Source organism: Homo sapiens, chromosome 4 (genome assembly GCF_000001405.40).
Source record: "Homo sapiens chromosome 4, GRCh38.p14 Primary Assembly".
Taxonomy (NCBI): domain Eukaryota; kingdom Metazoa; phylum Chordata; class Mammalia; order Primates; family Hominidae; genus Homo; species Homo sapiens.
Genome location: NC_000004.12, coordinates 183,962,556 through 183,979,483, shown reverse-complemented (window position 1 = coordinate 183,979,483; position 16,928 = coordinate 183,962,556). Strand labels below are relative to the sequence as shown.

At 40.1% G+C, this 16,928-nt stretch overlaps 1 protein-coding gene across 3 annotated transcripts in view, besides 1 other annotated feature; it reads right to left on the bottom strand.

The window, feature by feature from the left end:
* Window positions 1–16,928, bottom strand: part of STOX2 (storkhead box 2) — a 225,509-nt gene that overhangs the window by 44,047 nt on the left and 164,534 nt on the right. The window lies entirely within an intron of this gene.
* Window positions 5,691–5,880: a silencer, noted in NCBI's record as "fragment chr4:184894757-184894946 (GRCh37/hg19 assembly coordinates)". NCBI's record gives its function as "represses an EF-1alpha promoter that drives an FKBP-Casp9 reporter gene in an ReSE screen in K562 erythroleukemia cells {active_cell/tissue: K562}" and the evidence as "EXISTENCE:reporter gene assay evidence [ECO:0000049][PMID:32094911]".

Genomic DNA, 16,928 nt, shown 5'->3' with positions numbered 1-16,928 from the left:
ATCTGGTTAATCAATAGGCAATCACAAGAATATCAGTGATATGGTTTGGATCAGTGTCCCTGCACAAATCTCATGTCAAATTGTAATGAATTCCCAGTGTTGGAGGTGGGGCCTGGTGGGAGGTGACTGGAGCATAGGGGTGGAGTTCTCATGAATGAGTTAACACCATCTCCTCGGTACCGTTCTTGTGACAGTGAGTGAGTGAGTTATTCTGAGATCTGGTTGTTTAACAGTGTGTAGCACCTAGCCCGCCCCCCGACCTTTTTGTTTCTCCTGCTCTGGCCATCCAACAATGCTGGCTCCCTCTTTGCCTTCTGCCATGACTGTAAGTTCCCTGAGGTCTCACCAGAACCAGATCCTGCCATGCTTCCTCTACAGCCTGCAGAGTCACAAGCCAATTAAATCTCTTTTCTTTATAAATCACCCAGTCTCAGGTATTTCTTTATAGCAATGTGAGAACAGAATAATAAAATCGGGTACCATTCACTTTTGCCAAGAAAACTCATATTTTTAACATAATTTTGAAAATTAACATATACAAAATTGAGGCCTCTTTTGATGTACAGATTCTGTAAGTTTTAACACATGTGTAGATTTGCCTCCTTGCCATCACTCAGGATAGAATCAGATATGGAATTGCTCTATCACCCCAAAGAACTGCTTCATGTTGTGCCTTACACACTTCGAATCCCTGGAAACCACTGGTATGTTATTTTTCCTTATCATTTTGCCATTTCTAGAGTGTCATATAAATGGAATCATATAGCATGTAACTTTTTGAGACTGGCTTCTTCCACTGAGCCTAATGTTAAAATGTATCCATGCTGTTGCAAGTACTAGGAATGGGATTGCTGGATCATATGGTAAGGATACATATAACTTCATCAGAAACTACTGAAGTAGGATTGCTTTGGCTATTCAGACTCTTTGTTAGTTTCTGGAGGCATCACATCACCTGACTTCAAATGATACTACAAGGCTATAGTAACCAAAATAGTATGGTACTAGTACCAAAATACATACATAAATCAATGGAACAGAATAGAGAACCAAGAAATAAAGCCACATAACTACAACCAACTAATCTTTGACAACGTTGACAAAAATATAAAACACGGGGAAAGGACACCCTATTCAATCAATGCTGCTGGAAAAATTGGAAAGCCAATATGTAGAAGAATAGAATTGGACTCCTATCCCACTCCATATACAAAAATTAAATCAAGATGGATTAAAGATTTAAATGTAAGACCTGAAACTATTAAAATCCTAGAAGAAAATCTAGGAAAAACTCTTCTGGACATTGGTCAAAGCAAAGAATTTATGACTAAGTCCTCAAAAGGAAATGCAACAAAAACAAAAAAAGACAAATGGGACTTAACTAAACTAAATAGCATTTGCACAGCAAAAGAAATAATCAACAGGGTAAACAGACATCCTACACAATGGGAGAAAATATTTGCAAACTATGCATCCAATGGAGGGCTAATAGCCAGAATCTACAAGGAACTCAAATAACTCAACAAGAAAGAAACAAGTAACCCCATTAAAAAGTGGACAAAGGATGTGAACAGAAATTTTTCAAAAAAACAGGCAAGAGGCCAACAGACATATGAAAAACATCACTGATCAACAGATGTTGTGAGGATGTGGAGAAAAGGAAATGCTTATACACTGTCTGTGGGAATGTAAATTAGTACAACCTCTATGGAAAATAGTATGGTGATTTCTCAAAGAACTAAATATAGAACTACCTTTGATCCAGCAATCCCACTACTGGGTGTCTACCCAAAGGAAAAGAAATTATTTTACCAAAAAGACACCTGCACTTGTATGTTTATTGCACCACTACTCACAAGAGGAAAGATATGGAACCAACCTAAGTGTTCATTAACAGATAACTGGACTAAAAATGTGATACACACACACACACACACGAAATGGAATGCTACTCAGCCATAAAAAAGAATTAAATCATGCTTTTGCATGCAAAAGCAGCAACATGGGTGGAACTGGAGGCCCTTATCCTAAGTGAAATTACTAGTAAGGCAAAAACTGTATTTATAGTACAGTTATAAGTGGGAGCAGAATCAGATATGGAATTGCTCTATCACCCCAAAGAACTCCTTCATGTTGTGCCTTACACACTTCTAATCCCGTGGATACATTTTAACATTAGGCTCAGTGAAAGAAGCCAGTCTCAAAAAGTTATTGCAGGGTGGAATAACAGACATTAAAGACTCTGAAAGGAGTCTTTCAGAGTAGGAGGGTAGAAGGGAAGTGAGGGATCAAATACTACCTATTATACTACCTATTATACTGCCTATTGGGTACAATGTACACTGTTTGGGTGACAGTTACACTAAAAGCCCAGACTTTACCACTACACAATATATCCATTTAATACAACTACACTGACATCCCTAAATCTATAAAAATAAAAATAAATTTTAAGAAACTACTGAACTATTTTCCAGACTGGCTATACAATCTTGCATCTAACTGGCAATGCCATTCTAGGAACTTTTTCTGTAAATTTCTTGGGATTATCTATATGGTCAATCAAGTTGTTTGCAAACAGGCAGTTTTATTACAGCTTGTAAGCCTTTCATTTCTTTTTCTTACCTTATTCCAATGGATAGAAACTCCAGTATCATGTTCAACAGGAATGGTAAACGTGAACATCCTTGCCCTGTTTCCAGTCTTAAAGGGAGGGTATTAGGTCTTTCACCATCAAGTATGATGTTAGCTACAGGTTTCTTTTTCTTCAACTTTTATTTTAGATATGGGGTATATGCACAAGTTTGTTACATGGGTATATTGCATGCCACTGAGGTTTGGGGTATGAGTGATCCTGTCATCCAGGTAGTGAGCATAGTACCCCACAGGTAATTTTTAATCCATGCCCTCCTCCCTCCCTCCCTCCCCCTCTAGTAGTCTGCAGTGTCTATAGCTATCATAGCTGCAGATTTTTGTGGACGTTCTTTATCAGGTCAAGGAAGTTTCCTTTTAATCCTACATAGATTGTTGAGAGCTTTCATCATGAATGTATGTTGAATTTTGTCAACTTCTTTTTCTGAATCTGTTAATATTATTGTGTGGTTTTTTTCTTCTTTGGTATGTTAATATGATAGATTACATTGACTGATTTTCTTTTTTTTTGTTTGTTTTTGAGACGCAGTCTCGCTCTGTTGCCCAGGCTGGAGTGCAGTGGCGCAATCTTGGCTCACTGCAACCTCCACCTCCTGGGTTAAAACAATTCTCCTGCCTCAGCCTCCTGCGTAGCTGGGACTACAGGCATGTGCCACCACGCTCAGCTAATTTTTGTATTTTTTAGTAGAGACAAGGTTTCACCATGTTGGCCAGGATGTTCTCGATTTCTTGACTTCATGATCTGCCTGCCTTGGCCTCCCAAAGTGCTGGGATTACAGCTGTGAGCCACTGTGCCCAGCCCTACATTGACTGATTTTCAAATGCTGCCTTATATTCCAAGCCTAAATCCACTCGGTCATGACTTGTTATTATTTTTATTATTGCCTAATTCAATGTACTAATATTTTGTGAAGGATTTCTGCATCTATGTTCCTAAGAGACATTGGTCTGCAGTTTTCTTTTACTGTACTAACTTTGTCTGGTTTGGTAACCAGGATAATGCTGGCTTCACAAAACGAGTTGGGAAATGTTGCCTCCTCTTTTGTTTTTTGAAAAAGATCTTACAGAATTGATGTCATTTCTTCCACAAATGTTTGGCAGAGAATTCTACCAGTGAAACCATCCAAACCTGTAGTTTTTTAGGTTTTGATTTTTGAGTTTTTGGTAAAGATCTAATTATACATTGAATTTATTGAGATATAAAGGGATATTTTGGGGTGAGTTTTGGCAGCCTCTTCTTTCTAGGATTTGGTCCATTTCATCTATATTGTTGAATTTATGTGCACAGAGCTCTTGATGGTGTTTGCTTATTATATTTTTGTGGGGACTATAGTGATATGCCCTCTTTCATGCCTTACAATGGTAATTTATGTCATATTTCCTTGTCAATCTGGCTAGAGGTTTATCAGCTCTTGATATACTTAAAAAACCAGATTTTTAATTTTATTGGTTTTCTCCACTATTGTTTTCAAATTCATTGATATCTACTCTTATCTTTATAAAATTCCTTCTTTCTGCTTGCTTTAGACTTGTTTTGCTCTTCTTTTTCTAGTTTCTTTAGGTAGAAGCTTAGATTGCTCATTGCAGTTCTTTTTTTCTTTTCTAATATGAGGGTTTAATCCTCCATATTTCCCTCTAAGCCCTGATTTAGCTACTTCATATGAATTATGATATATTGCATTTTCAATTTTGTTCACTTCAAAATATTTTCTGCTTTCTCTGAGACTTTGATTCACAGATCACTTAGAAGTAGGTTGTTTAATTTCCTAGTATTTAGAGATTTATCAATTATCTTTCTTTTGTTGATTTCTAGTTAAATCTCATTATGGTAAGATAACTACTTTTGATTATTTCAATTCTTTTAATCATTTTTAGGTTTGTTTTATGTCTCTGGCTGTCATCTATTTTTCTGAATGCTCCCTGAGGATTTTAAAGGAATGTATATTCTGCTATTTGAGGGAGGAACACTTTATAAATGTCAATTAGCAAGTCTGATGGCATTGTTCAGTTTTTCCATATCCTTACCGCTATTCTATCTACTTGTTCTTGCAATTATTGGGGGAGCTGTGTTGAAGCCCCTAACTATAATTGTCCATTTTTCCTTTCAGTTCTATTCTGTTTCATGTACTTTGAAACTTTGTTGTTAGGTACATACACTTTTTTATGCTTGTTATGTCATCATGGTGAACTTACCCATTTTTCTTTATGTAATGTTCTTCTTTATCCCTGGTAATTTTTCTTGCTCTACAGTCTACTATTTCTGATATTAATATGGCCCCTCCAGCTTCCTTATGATTAGTGTATATCACTTTACTTTTAACACATTCATTTCATTATATTTAAAATGTATTACCTGTAGATAGCATATCCTTTGGTCATTTAAAAAAAATCCATTATGACAATCTCTGTCATTTAATTTGTATGTTTAGATCATTTATATTTAATATAATTAGTTATACGTTGAAATTTAAATCTACCCTTTATGATTTATTTTAGGTTTCTTCCCTCATTTTGTTCCTGTTTTTCCTTTCCTAATTTTATTTGAATTATTTGAATATTTTCAGTGCTCTATTTTTGTTTATCTATTGAGTTTTTACTGTATTCCTTTGTATGGTGTCTTTAGCTGTTGCTCTACACATTTCAAATATATATACTTAACTTTTCACAGTCTACTTAGAATTAATATTTTACTACTTCAAGTGGTAAATCTTACCATCATTTTAGTCCTTTTAACCTCTTCTCTTTATCTTACAATTCTCATATGTGTTACATCTATATACAATGAAACTCTACCAATGCTAGAATATTTGATTTCCATTATTATACGTGTATATATTTTTTGACACAGTTTTGCTCTATCACCAGGCTGGAGCGCAGTGGCACAATCTCTGCTCACTGCAACCTCTGCCTCCTGGGTTAAAGCAATTCTCCTGCCTCAGCCTCCTGAGTAGCTGGGACTACAGGCATGCGCCACCACGCCCAGCTAATTTTTGTATTTTTAGTAGAGATGGGGTTTCCCCATGTTAGCCAGGATGGTCTCGATCTCTTCACCTCGTGATCCACCCACCTCGGCCTCCCAAAGTGCTGAGATCAGAGGCATGAGCCACAGCGCCCGGCCTATTATACATATTTTAAAGAACTTAAGAGAATAATTATATTTACTCAGGTATTACTACTGTTGCTTTTCTTTTTCTCTTGATGTTTCAAGTTTTCCTCTGGTATAATTTTCTGTCTATCAGCATTTCTTTTAGAGCAAGTCTTCTGGCAGTGAATTATTGCTTTCTTTTATTTGAGAATTTCATTTTTTTACCTTCGTATATAAATAATATGTTCCCTGGTTATTTTAAAAATAGTGTTCCACTTTACTTTGGCCTTTGTGGTTTCTAACAGAAAATCTTCAGTCATTCAACTTGTTCTATTATATGTTATGTATCATTGGTATGTCTAAACATACCAATTAAATCTGCAGTAATTCAACTTGCTCTATTATATGTTATGTAGCATTTTTCCCTATTTGCTTTCAATATTTTTCTCTCTTTAGTTTTCAACAGTTTATGATGTGTCAGGGCATGCATTTCTTTGATTTTAGCCTGTTTAGGTTTGTTCAGCTTCTTAAATTTAAAAGCTTACGTCTTTGACCAAATTTAGTTGCCAACCATTATTTCTTCAAATCACACTCTTTTAGGAACTTTGATTACACAAATGTTGGACATTTTTGGTATGGTCTCACACATCCTTGAAGCTCTGTTTACTTATTTTTTTTTCAATCTTTTTCTCTGTTGTTGAGATTGAAAAATTTCTATTGCTCTATCTTCAAGTCCACTGTCTCTTCTCTTTCTATTATCTTTATTCTGTTGTTGAGCCCACCCATGAATTTTTATTTTTGATTATTATATATTTCAGTTCTAAAATTACCACTCACTTCTGCATTACATAATCTATTCCCACACTTCTGGGGCCATGATTAGAATAACTGATTTAAATCTTTGATAATTCCAACATCTGTGACACCTCAGTATTTGCAACTGTTACTTGTTCTTTCACATACAAATTGAGATTATCCTAATTCTTCATATGCTGGCTAATTTTTAGTAATGTTGATTATTATATCATGAGAGTCCGAGTCTTTAAATCCTAAGGACAATGTTGAATTTTTTTTTAAGCACGTGATCAACATTGTTAAGTTCAGGCTGCGATTTCCAAACCACCTCCTGTCAGCTGAATGTCACTTCAGTGCAGAAAGCTTTTGCAGTGCTATTTGGATCTGTCTTACATGTATACCATGCAGTGGTCAGCCTGGGACCTGTATGATCTAGTTCATATTTCAGCTCTCAAAGCGTTTGTAATGCTGCTACAATGAGATCCAAACATGCACAGCTCAGAAGCGAGTCCAGGAGTTCATACAATATTTTATGCAATAGCTCTCTTGATCCTCTCTGTGATCTCCCCAGTACCTTCCAGTACCCTAGGGCCCTTTTTCATGGTCCTTCTGCTAGAACGCTGGGTTTAGTTGCCTTGCTCAGCCACATACTTCTAGCACAACTGCATTTCAATGTGGTGTCAAGTGGCAGAAGGACAGAGGGAGGGAAGAAAAGCAATGGGAATTCGCCCCATGCTCTTAGGACCACAGTTCCCTTCATCAGAAAGAAGGAAATCCTCCTCCCCCAGCACGCACAGTTTTGGATGTCTGCCCAGCCCTACGCCGCTGTGCAGGACTGGCTATGGGTTGGGAAGGGAGAGAATGAGGACGGTGGCTTCTTCCACTCACTATGAAGTCAGCACTCCCTTTTCCTGCTTCTCAGGTCAGGAAGCAAGGGCTTCCCTTGAAGATCTTTCTGTCCACACCAGTGTGACCTACTGGATTTCGGGCTACCTCGGAGTCTATGCCAGGTGATACAGTTTAGTGGAACTTCAAATTCTGATCTCCTTCCCCACGGTGCCTGCTGCACCATGCATTCTGCCCATGGTCTCAGCTACACGCTCCCTCTTGCTCGGAAGAAGAATCCATCACTACTTTTTAGTGTCTGAAATAGCACTGTTAGCAGGAGAAGCAAATATGTTCACTTTGGACTTTGTTTTTCTTTTATAAAGACTTACTTTTATTTTAGGACTGCTGCCATTGAGATTTTTTACAAGTTTTATTTTAGCCTTAAAAAATATCATTTCACTTCATCCACTTACCACATACCAGACACTTAGCCTTTTCCCACCTCTGTGATAATAGTGGACAGATATGGGTGACTCAAAGTTAGCTTCCTTTTTGTGGTTCTGGCCTCTTTGGCCAACTATTTTCTTTGGAGTTACTAATGAGAAGCCAAACTGATTGACATGAGTGCTGTCCTCTCTTTCCTCAAGTCCACCCTCTGGCCAGAGGTACTAATGAGCTTTGTCATCAGTGTTAGGTGGATCAGGAGACAGGAGACACCCACATGACCCACAGACCAGATCATTAGCATCAAATATAATTATTGAGTTCATTGTTTCCTTTTCTGAACCTCTCCTATCCACGTCACACACACAATAGTGATGGGTGCTTTCAAAAACTCACCTTAGCCCTGGCTGAGGGCATTACAACAGAGAAGAGAAACAGGTATGGCCTGAGACTTTGCCTCAATAATGTTCAGTCCTCCTACTTTTACTTCAAACTGTTGGTATTTGTGGTCCTTAGACGAGTATCACTCAAGTTTGTCTACTATATGAACATGATTGGCTTCTATACTCAACACAAAAAGTTCCACCAAAAAAACCCCTCAGATATTACATCTTGACAGTTACACTACCATGTACAAATAACCTGACCCCAAAATTCTAATGGCCTTCTCACTGGGGGATATGACCCCAACGGTTATACTAAAAAGAGCTCCAAGAAGGCAATGTTCATATCATATATATTAGTATGTCATAGCGAGGGCAGTTTACTGATAATAGGACAGCCTGTTGAACAGAAATCTTGAGTATTTGGCAGGATGAATAGGCAAGGGATACTTATAATTCTACTCAATTAGAGAGTGAAATGTGAAAGTCAATATATGCAGCATGAGCAGATTTGCAAGAAAAGGTTTATGGGTAATAGATAAACTTTCTTACTCGACCCAAATGAGGATTTTAATCTCTGGCTGCTGGCTGCAGCACTTTGGTGGGGGAACCAGTGGGGACAGAGAAGAAGGTGGCTCAGCCCAAAGTGCTCCATGGAGATGCCTCTAGCTGAGAGCGGGGGCCACCCGAACATCCTCCTTGTGTGTATGTGGTGGCTGCCCTTCCTCCTGTGTGATTCCCCTGACACTTAACAGTTCTAGGCAAGGGTCCGGTCGGGGGCAGTGATGTGGCCTGGGCCACCGAATGGGGTCCCAGGGGCTCCTTCTCAGTGAATGGCAAACTGTGCTTCATCTGCTTGGCATAGTGGGACTCCCTGAGGAGCACCCAACCCAACTGAGAAAACAGTGTTCACTGTCCAGCTTGTGGCTGGGCAATCATTTAGACTGAATTATCAGCATGGATATTGCTGATAGACTTCAGAGAACGAAGGCTACCACAGATGTCAATGATACCACATTTGACACCACTGTTTGACTGAAGCCACGAGAAATTGTAAAGCAAACAAAAGCTGATTTCTAACTCAACCTCGGGACAGAAAATTCAGCTGGAACCCCACACACACACACACACACACACACACACACACACACACACACGTACATGTAGTTATAGACTGAGATTGAGAAACCTAGCAAGACAGTATAAAGTGTTTTTTTCATGCATGGGCCAAGAGCACTGCGGCACAGTCTCTATTGAGACAGGAATGAATGGCTGATGGATCAGCTCCTTTATACTTTGTTCAGATCTGTGGTCCTAAATCAATAGTTTCCCCAACACAAGATATGTAAATTTAACACCTAAAACCTGCAACCATGGCAGGGTGTGGTGGCTCACGCCTGGAATCTCAGCACTTTGGGAGATTGAGGTGAGAGGATCTCTTGAGTCCAGGAATTCAAGGCTAGCCTGAGCAATATAGTGAGATCCCATCTCTACAGAAAACTTTCAAAAATTAGCCAGGCGTGGTGGTGCGTGCCTGGAGCCCCAGCTACTCAGGAGGCTGAGGTGGAGGGATGACTTGAGCCCAGGAGTTGAAGGTTGCAGTCAGCTATGATTGCCACCACTGCACTCCAGCTTGGGTGACACAGTAAGATCCCGTCTCAAAAAAAAAACCCTGCAACCCTGAAAATGGTAAGTTCAAAGTTCATAGATTATGAATAAGCAGAAATCTAGCGGGGTATGGTAGCTCACACCTATAATCTCAGGGCTTTGGGAGGCTGAGGCGGGAGGGTGGCTTGAGCCCGGGAGTTCAAGAGCAGCTTGGGCAACAAAGCAAACCGTGTTGCTGTATTTTAAAAAATAATTTTAAATACAAATCAGGCTAATTTTTAAAAGTAAATGTTTCCAAATATCAAACTGTTAATATAAATTAATTCTAAATTTGCGAAAGCTATCAATACAAGTTGTCTGTAAGCTCTTCTATAATAAAAAACCATGCTGCATTTTCTTCCTTCCACATTTTACTTTTATCCCATCCTTGCTGGTAAGTCACTGCCGTCACAAGCTCTTAATGTCTGTTCATGTAACACGTACACTGATGAAGCAGACTACATTCTTAATGATCTATTCAGATTAGTAGATTTTTCTGTTAACTTTCAAAAACCCACATGTCTACCACATTCATATTTTGCAATAAAGGCGTCAATTCTCACAGGAACAGCAAAACTGGCCTCTTTAAAGTTCCACACCTCATAAAAGGCTTGTTTTAAGAACAAACAATTGATGAAGAAAGACATCACTCCCAATGTGATACCGTATCCTATTACTTTACACTAGAATCTAAAATATTCTCGCCTATACAGCTTAAAGTCATATGTACTTTTCAGGCAGTGCCAGGGCAAAAAAGAAAAAGGAAGTCATATGTACTTAATCATTGAAAGTCTTTAAAATTTCCCTCTTGTGTTATACCATTTACCTTCTATCCTTTCTATCCACCCTCCCCTCCCCCGGCCAAACCCCTGCCACCCAACACCCCCCGCCCCCCTGCCGCAACCCAACCTACTCTCAGAAAAGAAAAAAACATCCCCTGGCAACAAAGATCCTTTTGATAACTTGGCTTGGGCCACAAAGTGGTCCGGAAAAAGGGTTGGTCTTTTCAGCCCTGCGTTTGTAGCAGCGAAGGTGGCAGGATTTCTGTCTCCCAAGCTGTCCTGGGCTGGTCACCTGGGAGCAGGTAGACAACAGCTGGACCAGTACTTAGTAAATTCTGGCCAGATTCTGTAGGTCTGTGTTTGTGCTTGTGTGGACAATTATTTTAACAGTCCACAATGAAAAGAAGAAAAGATAAGACAACAAAGAAAATTTCTCATAAAGATAACTTTACTTGATCAAAAAATTGTCTTTAATTATGCTCTTCTTTGTGTGTGTGTGTGTGTGTGTGTGTGTGTGTGTGTGTAGGTATATGCATGTGTGCATGTTAAATGTCTTCTTTTTTAATGCAGTAATGGTGATAAGAGATGACAGATTTTTTTAAAAAGCACTTGCTTGCCAGAACTAAAAGCTGGCGACCTATGGTGATCCACACAAATTTTATTGAAGTGTTCTTTGAACGTGAAGTCCAAAAGTGTGACAACCCTTGGATTAGATTTCAGAAAGATGGGAGGGAAAAGGGCACAGGGATTGATAATCCTAACACACATCCTGAGGCCATTCCCCAACTCCCTTTGTGATGTTCAGAGTTTGGGAAGCAAAGTGTTACCCATCCTGATATCTTTTGCTTGATAAAAAGCATTAACACTTGCGTTTGAACTCACATGAGTTTCAGTTATTTTCTTAGTGTGTACCGATCCGGTGTTCAGCTGGATCCCCTCATGGGTTTTCCTTAAGTTTTGTCTTCCTCATTTTGTCTTATGCTCCTAAAAACATAGTAGACTTTCATAATTCATTTCCCAAGCTTTGCATTCATAAACTGTTATTTTATGTTTCTAAGTTTTAACATTTTCATACTTTCGTGGCACTACATTTTTCATAACCCAAAGTTGATGATCTTTTTAATCCAACACAGGATTATAACTACTTTCCTTCCTACTATCACCATTTTCATGACATCCTACAATCCAGCTATGTCTGATTGCAGGAAACCCGAACAAAACAACTAGAGCGTAGAGCACACAACAAGTTATCTAAGTTAGGTACATCTCCGGTCCCAAACATCCAACTGCCAGGTGTGAGCACCACCCATGGGTGGCCAGTGTATGCTCCCGTGCCTTCTTACCCTTCCTTCACTCTTCCTTAAAGACACCAAACACCATCATGTTCCCCTTTCTTCCTCTTGCACCACTCACTTTCTCGATGATAAACATTCTCACTCATATGCACACCCCATCATCTTTAACCGCTTTCCTCTCACTTCTTTTTTTTTTTTTTTCTCTTGAGACGGAGTTTCGCTCTTGTTGCCCAGGCTGGAGTGCAATGGCACAATCTCGGCTCACTGCAACCTCCGCCTCCCGGGTTCAGGCAATTCTCCTGCCTCACTCAGCCTCCCGAGTAGCTGGGATTACAGGCATGCACCACCACACCCGGCTAATTTTGTATTTTTAGTAGAGATGGAGTTTCTCCGTGTTGGTCGGGCTGGTCTTGAACTCCCGACCTCAGGTGATCCGCCCACCTCGGCCTCCCAAAGTGCTGGGATTACAGGCGTGAGCCACCGTGCCCAGCCCCTCTCACTTCTAATGCCTACCCTTCCCACCTCCTACTCATAACAACTACACTTTACTGCCAATATGTACAAAGGGGCTTTCTACATGTCACGTCACTTTGTTCTCATAAGAACCTTATGAAACAAATACTATTATCTCCATTTCATGAATGAAATCAGGGAGAGTTAGGTAACTTGCCCAAGGTCACAGTTTTAATGACAGATTATATAATAGCTAAGACATTGATCGAGTTCTATCAAGGAAAAGAAAAAAGCAAAATTTGACAAAGTAAAGAACACTTTTCTTGTTTTAATAGCTCCCAAAAATACTTAAAATATTAAGTCACACTTTCCGCACAGGTCCTAGGTCATCCCTTCTAATTACAACCATTTAAGCACTCATGCTAAAGATGAGTGAAAACTACTCTAAATTGCACGCCTCCTTGTTGAGTGTTCAGTACCTTCTATTTCCCACAGCCATCTGCAGCATTGTGGTCTCATGAAGGTTAAGGTGAATGTGTGGCGTAGCCTGAGTCATCACCACCCCTGGGAACGGCTTCTGGGGGAGGCGCCGCCGGGAGGGTGACTGTGATGAAATGGAAATTCAGTGGACTCAAGAGACCCGTCCATCTGTCCATCAAATGCAGAACTGACTCAGGGCACTGTGGTTCTTTCCAGCTTTGGCTTTTTGGTTCCAAACAGTTGACTTCTCCATCTCTTTGGGAAACTCACTGTGTGTAAATTATTAAAACCAAATGCAGATTCTAAATTCATAACTATGGTCTGAGTTTCCTCTTCTTATAACTGTTTCCTCTGCTGGCGTCTAAAAGAGAGCTCTCGAAGGCTCCATCCTCACCCACACCTCCTCTCTTCCCCAGCTATGTGCCCCACAGGGGCAGGCCCACCCACCGTCTCAGGCATAACCACTCTTGGCCATATAGAGCTGAAGGGGTCAAAACTCCCTCCCTGGTCCCAAAACTCTCTCTGATTGCCTGACCCACCTGTCTTTCTCAATCTCTCCCTCTCCCTCCCTCCCTGCCCCCCTCTCTCTTTACCTATCAGATGATTCCACCTAGATACCCCCAGTGCCTCAAACTCAACATGTCCAAAACTGAATGTTCACTCTATCCCATAAATCCTGCCCCTTCTTGTATCTCCTGGTTTGGACTGTAGCACCACCACTGGGGCAGCCACATGACACATGAATGTGAGACAGACACCTGCTGTCCCTTCTTCCCTAACCACCCCCTTCCCTCATAATGAAACAGTCAACAGAGCCACTCTACTCACTCTCTGGATGTCTCTAAATCCGTTCCTTTCTTTTGCTTTAGGTTTTCACCTGCACTACTGGAAACCGCCCCCCACAACCCCCGCCACTGGTTTCCTCTGTCACCCTAAGCATAAGTGCCCGAATGAGCTTCCCGTCTAAAGCTCCTCTCTTACCCCTTTTCCAATGATAAACCCCTAATGATCTCAATATGTTGATATCAATTGCATCCCTATTTTTGAGCTGATAAAACTAAGGACATTACATAAGGACAGATGATAAAACTGTCTAATGGTATCAGAAAGATATTCTTCTAGAATAACTTATCAGAGTTGAAGAACAAACAATTTTATCTTATCCCTTCAGGAAAGATATCCCATTAAAGTGAACAGAATTTGGTCATTTTAGCAATTAAATGCAAGCAGGAGATAAAGAATGCTAACATTTATTGCACACCTTCTGCACGGCCAGTACTCTATGTCAGACACTTCATATAGGTTCACAATTAATATAACCTGTGATGTGGGTGTAATCCTCATTTAAAGGATTAAAGCTAATTTGTTCTAAGTCTCCCAGCAAGGAAATGGTACCTCCAGGATTCAAATGTCGTTCTAATATCCTGAACCTACACACTTGTCACCATTCCACATGCCTTGTCACCAAGAAAACGGACATGCTGGTGCCATGAGTGGCTAAAAGATTCATAAACACGGCATAACTGCTTTGATTTAAATTCAACCACAATATCTTTTTAATTCAAATTTCAGATTTCAAGACTATAAGATTTTTATGCTGATTGAAAGAGGAAATGGGTAAATATGAGCAGCACTGTTTCGTGATAAGAAAATTCAACAGATAACATGTCTAAGATTTCATAAAACCCTTCCATTTCCTGTTTCTGAGGTCAAGGGTAATTTTTCATAACGTTTCAATGTAAAAACTCACCAATTTGGCTGGGCACAGTGGCTCATGCCTGTAATCCCAGCATTTTGGGAGGCCAAGGCGGGTGAATCACCTAGGGTCGGGAGTTTGAGACCAGCCTGGCCAATATGGTGAAACCCCATCTCTACTAAAAATACAAAAAATCAGCTGGGCATGGTGGCATGCACCTGTAATCCCAGCTACTTGGGAGCCTGAGGTGGGAGAATCGCTTGAACCTGGGAGGCGGGGGTTGCAGTGAGCCGAGACTGCACCACTGCTGGGTGCGACGGAGCAACACTCTGTCTCAAAAAGCAAAACAAAACAAAAACGACTCACCAATTTTTTACACCTGTTTTATACTTAGCTCTGGTCTGGGGACAAAAGGAAGACAAAAGCACAGTACAGAGTACAATCCACCTACAAGTAACAAACTTTCAACTCAAGATAAACAGGTACTGAGATAAAGACAGCATTTCTCTCCCAGCGCTGTTGGCATCATGCATTACATACAACCTCACCATAGACTCAATCTAAATAACATGAGCTCCAAATAAAAAAGGATTTGACATACTACAACCACACAATGTGTAAAATGCACCATAGGGGAAGTGATTCTAGGTCACAAAGATCTGAAAATCAGTCCTTTCTCAACATAACATTTGAATATTAATCAGCACCCCATCGGAAGAACTGAAGTGACTTGCAAAGTTTATTCTCTGAAGCAGATCATCTCCCTTGTGCCATTAATTCATTTAGGAAACCCTTTTTACACAAGTGGAACAGAAGTACATTTCAGACTAGTCTCTATTTCAATTATCAACATTCAGCTTTGTAAAGAAAGCTGGGCGCGGTGGCTCACGCCTGTAATCCCAGCACTTTGGGAGGCCGAGGAAGGCAGATGACGAGGTCAGGAGATCGAGACCATCCTGGCTAACACAGTGAAACCCCGTCTCTACTAAAAATACAAAAAATAAGCCGGGCGTGGTGGTGGGCGCCTGTAGTCCCAGCTACTAGGGAGGCTGAGGCAGGAGAATGGCATGAACCCGGGAGGCGGAGCTTGCAGTGAGCCGAGATCATGCCACTGCACTCCAGCCTGGGTGACAGAGCGAGACTCCGTCTCAAAAAAAAAAAAAAAGAAAGCCAGTAAGGTTGCATTTTTGTCATATTAGAAATAATACAACATTTTTAGGCCGGGTGTGGTGGCTCACGCCTGTAATCCCAGCACTTTGGGAGGCCGAGGCAGGCGGATCACCTGAGGTCAGGAGTTCGAAACCAGCCTGGCCAACATGGTGAAACCCCGTCTCTACTAAAATACAAAAATTAGCCGGGTGTGGTGGCGGGCACCTATAATCCCAGCTACTCAGGAGGCTGAGGCATGAGAATCGTTTGAACCCAGGAGGCAGAGTTTACAGTGAGCAGAGATCACACCATTGCACTCCAGCCTGGGTGACAGTGCAAGACTCCGTCTCAAAAAAAAAAGAAAAAAAGAAAAAAAATATAACATTTTTAAATAGATAAAAGCAACATTCAACATGTTGTTTCCTATTATAATTTGTGTCATTTAAAAATTATTTTAATGGCACTTTATTAATGAAGTTAAGTATTATACAAATATGACTTTTTGACGTCATAATAAAACCCATAAGAATAGAGACCACATGTTTCTTAGTTGGGGGTAACAAATACTGTCTCCTCATATTTCCATGTGACAGAACCACCTGATCAGTAAAGAGCCAGGTGTATCCACTGGTCCATCCCACTCATCTACACCTGGGGGACACTGACTTTTGTGACTGGTGAGTGTGGGAGAAGGATCAATGTAGAGAGAGTAAGTGATCAAAAGTTACCCCAATGAGTGTAGAAGAATTAAGATTTTGTCTGATTTTGAAGCCTTAATACTCTTGATATTCTACCTTCCAGAGACCCTGATTTTATTCTTCTCCTAAAGTTTGCCTATCTTCAAAAGAACTTTTGCTTCTACTGCTTAATAACCCCCCTTTTATAAATGTAGTGAGCTTGATATTTGTTTGTAAACAGTGAATTTCTAAAGAAAAGTATTTTTAAATTTCTTGAACCCACCAAATTATCTAAAAGCACACTGTTTTTCTCTAGACTTCCCTAAAGGGTCATATTTTTTAAAACTTCACAGACCATCAGTATTACCAATCCCAATTATTTCTGAGCAAAGTCTTTTGCTAAGCTACTAGCTTCACTGGATAATATTAGTGATGAAAGAAAAACACTACAATACTGCATCTGCCATTAATCTCTAAGCATCAGGCTTCACATCAATCACAAGTCATTTATTGTGGAACCTGTCACAGGATATAATGATTCACGCTAGTTTGAACTTGCCAT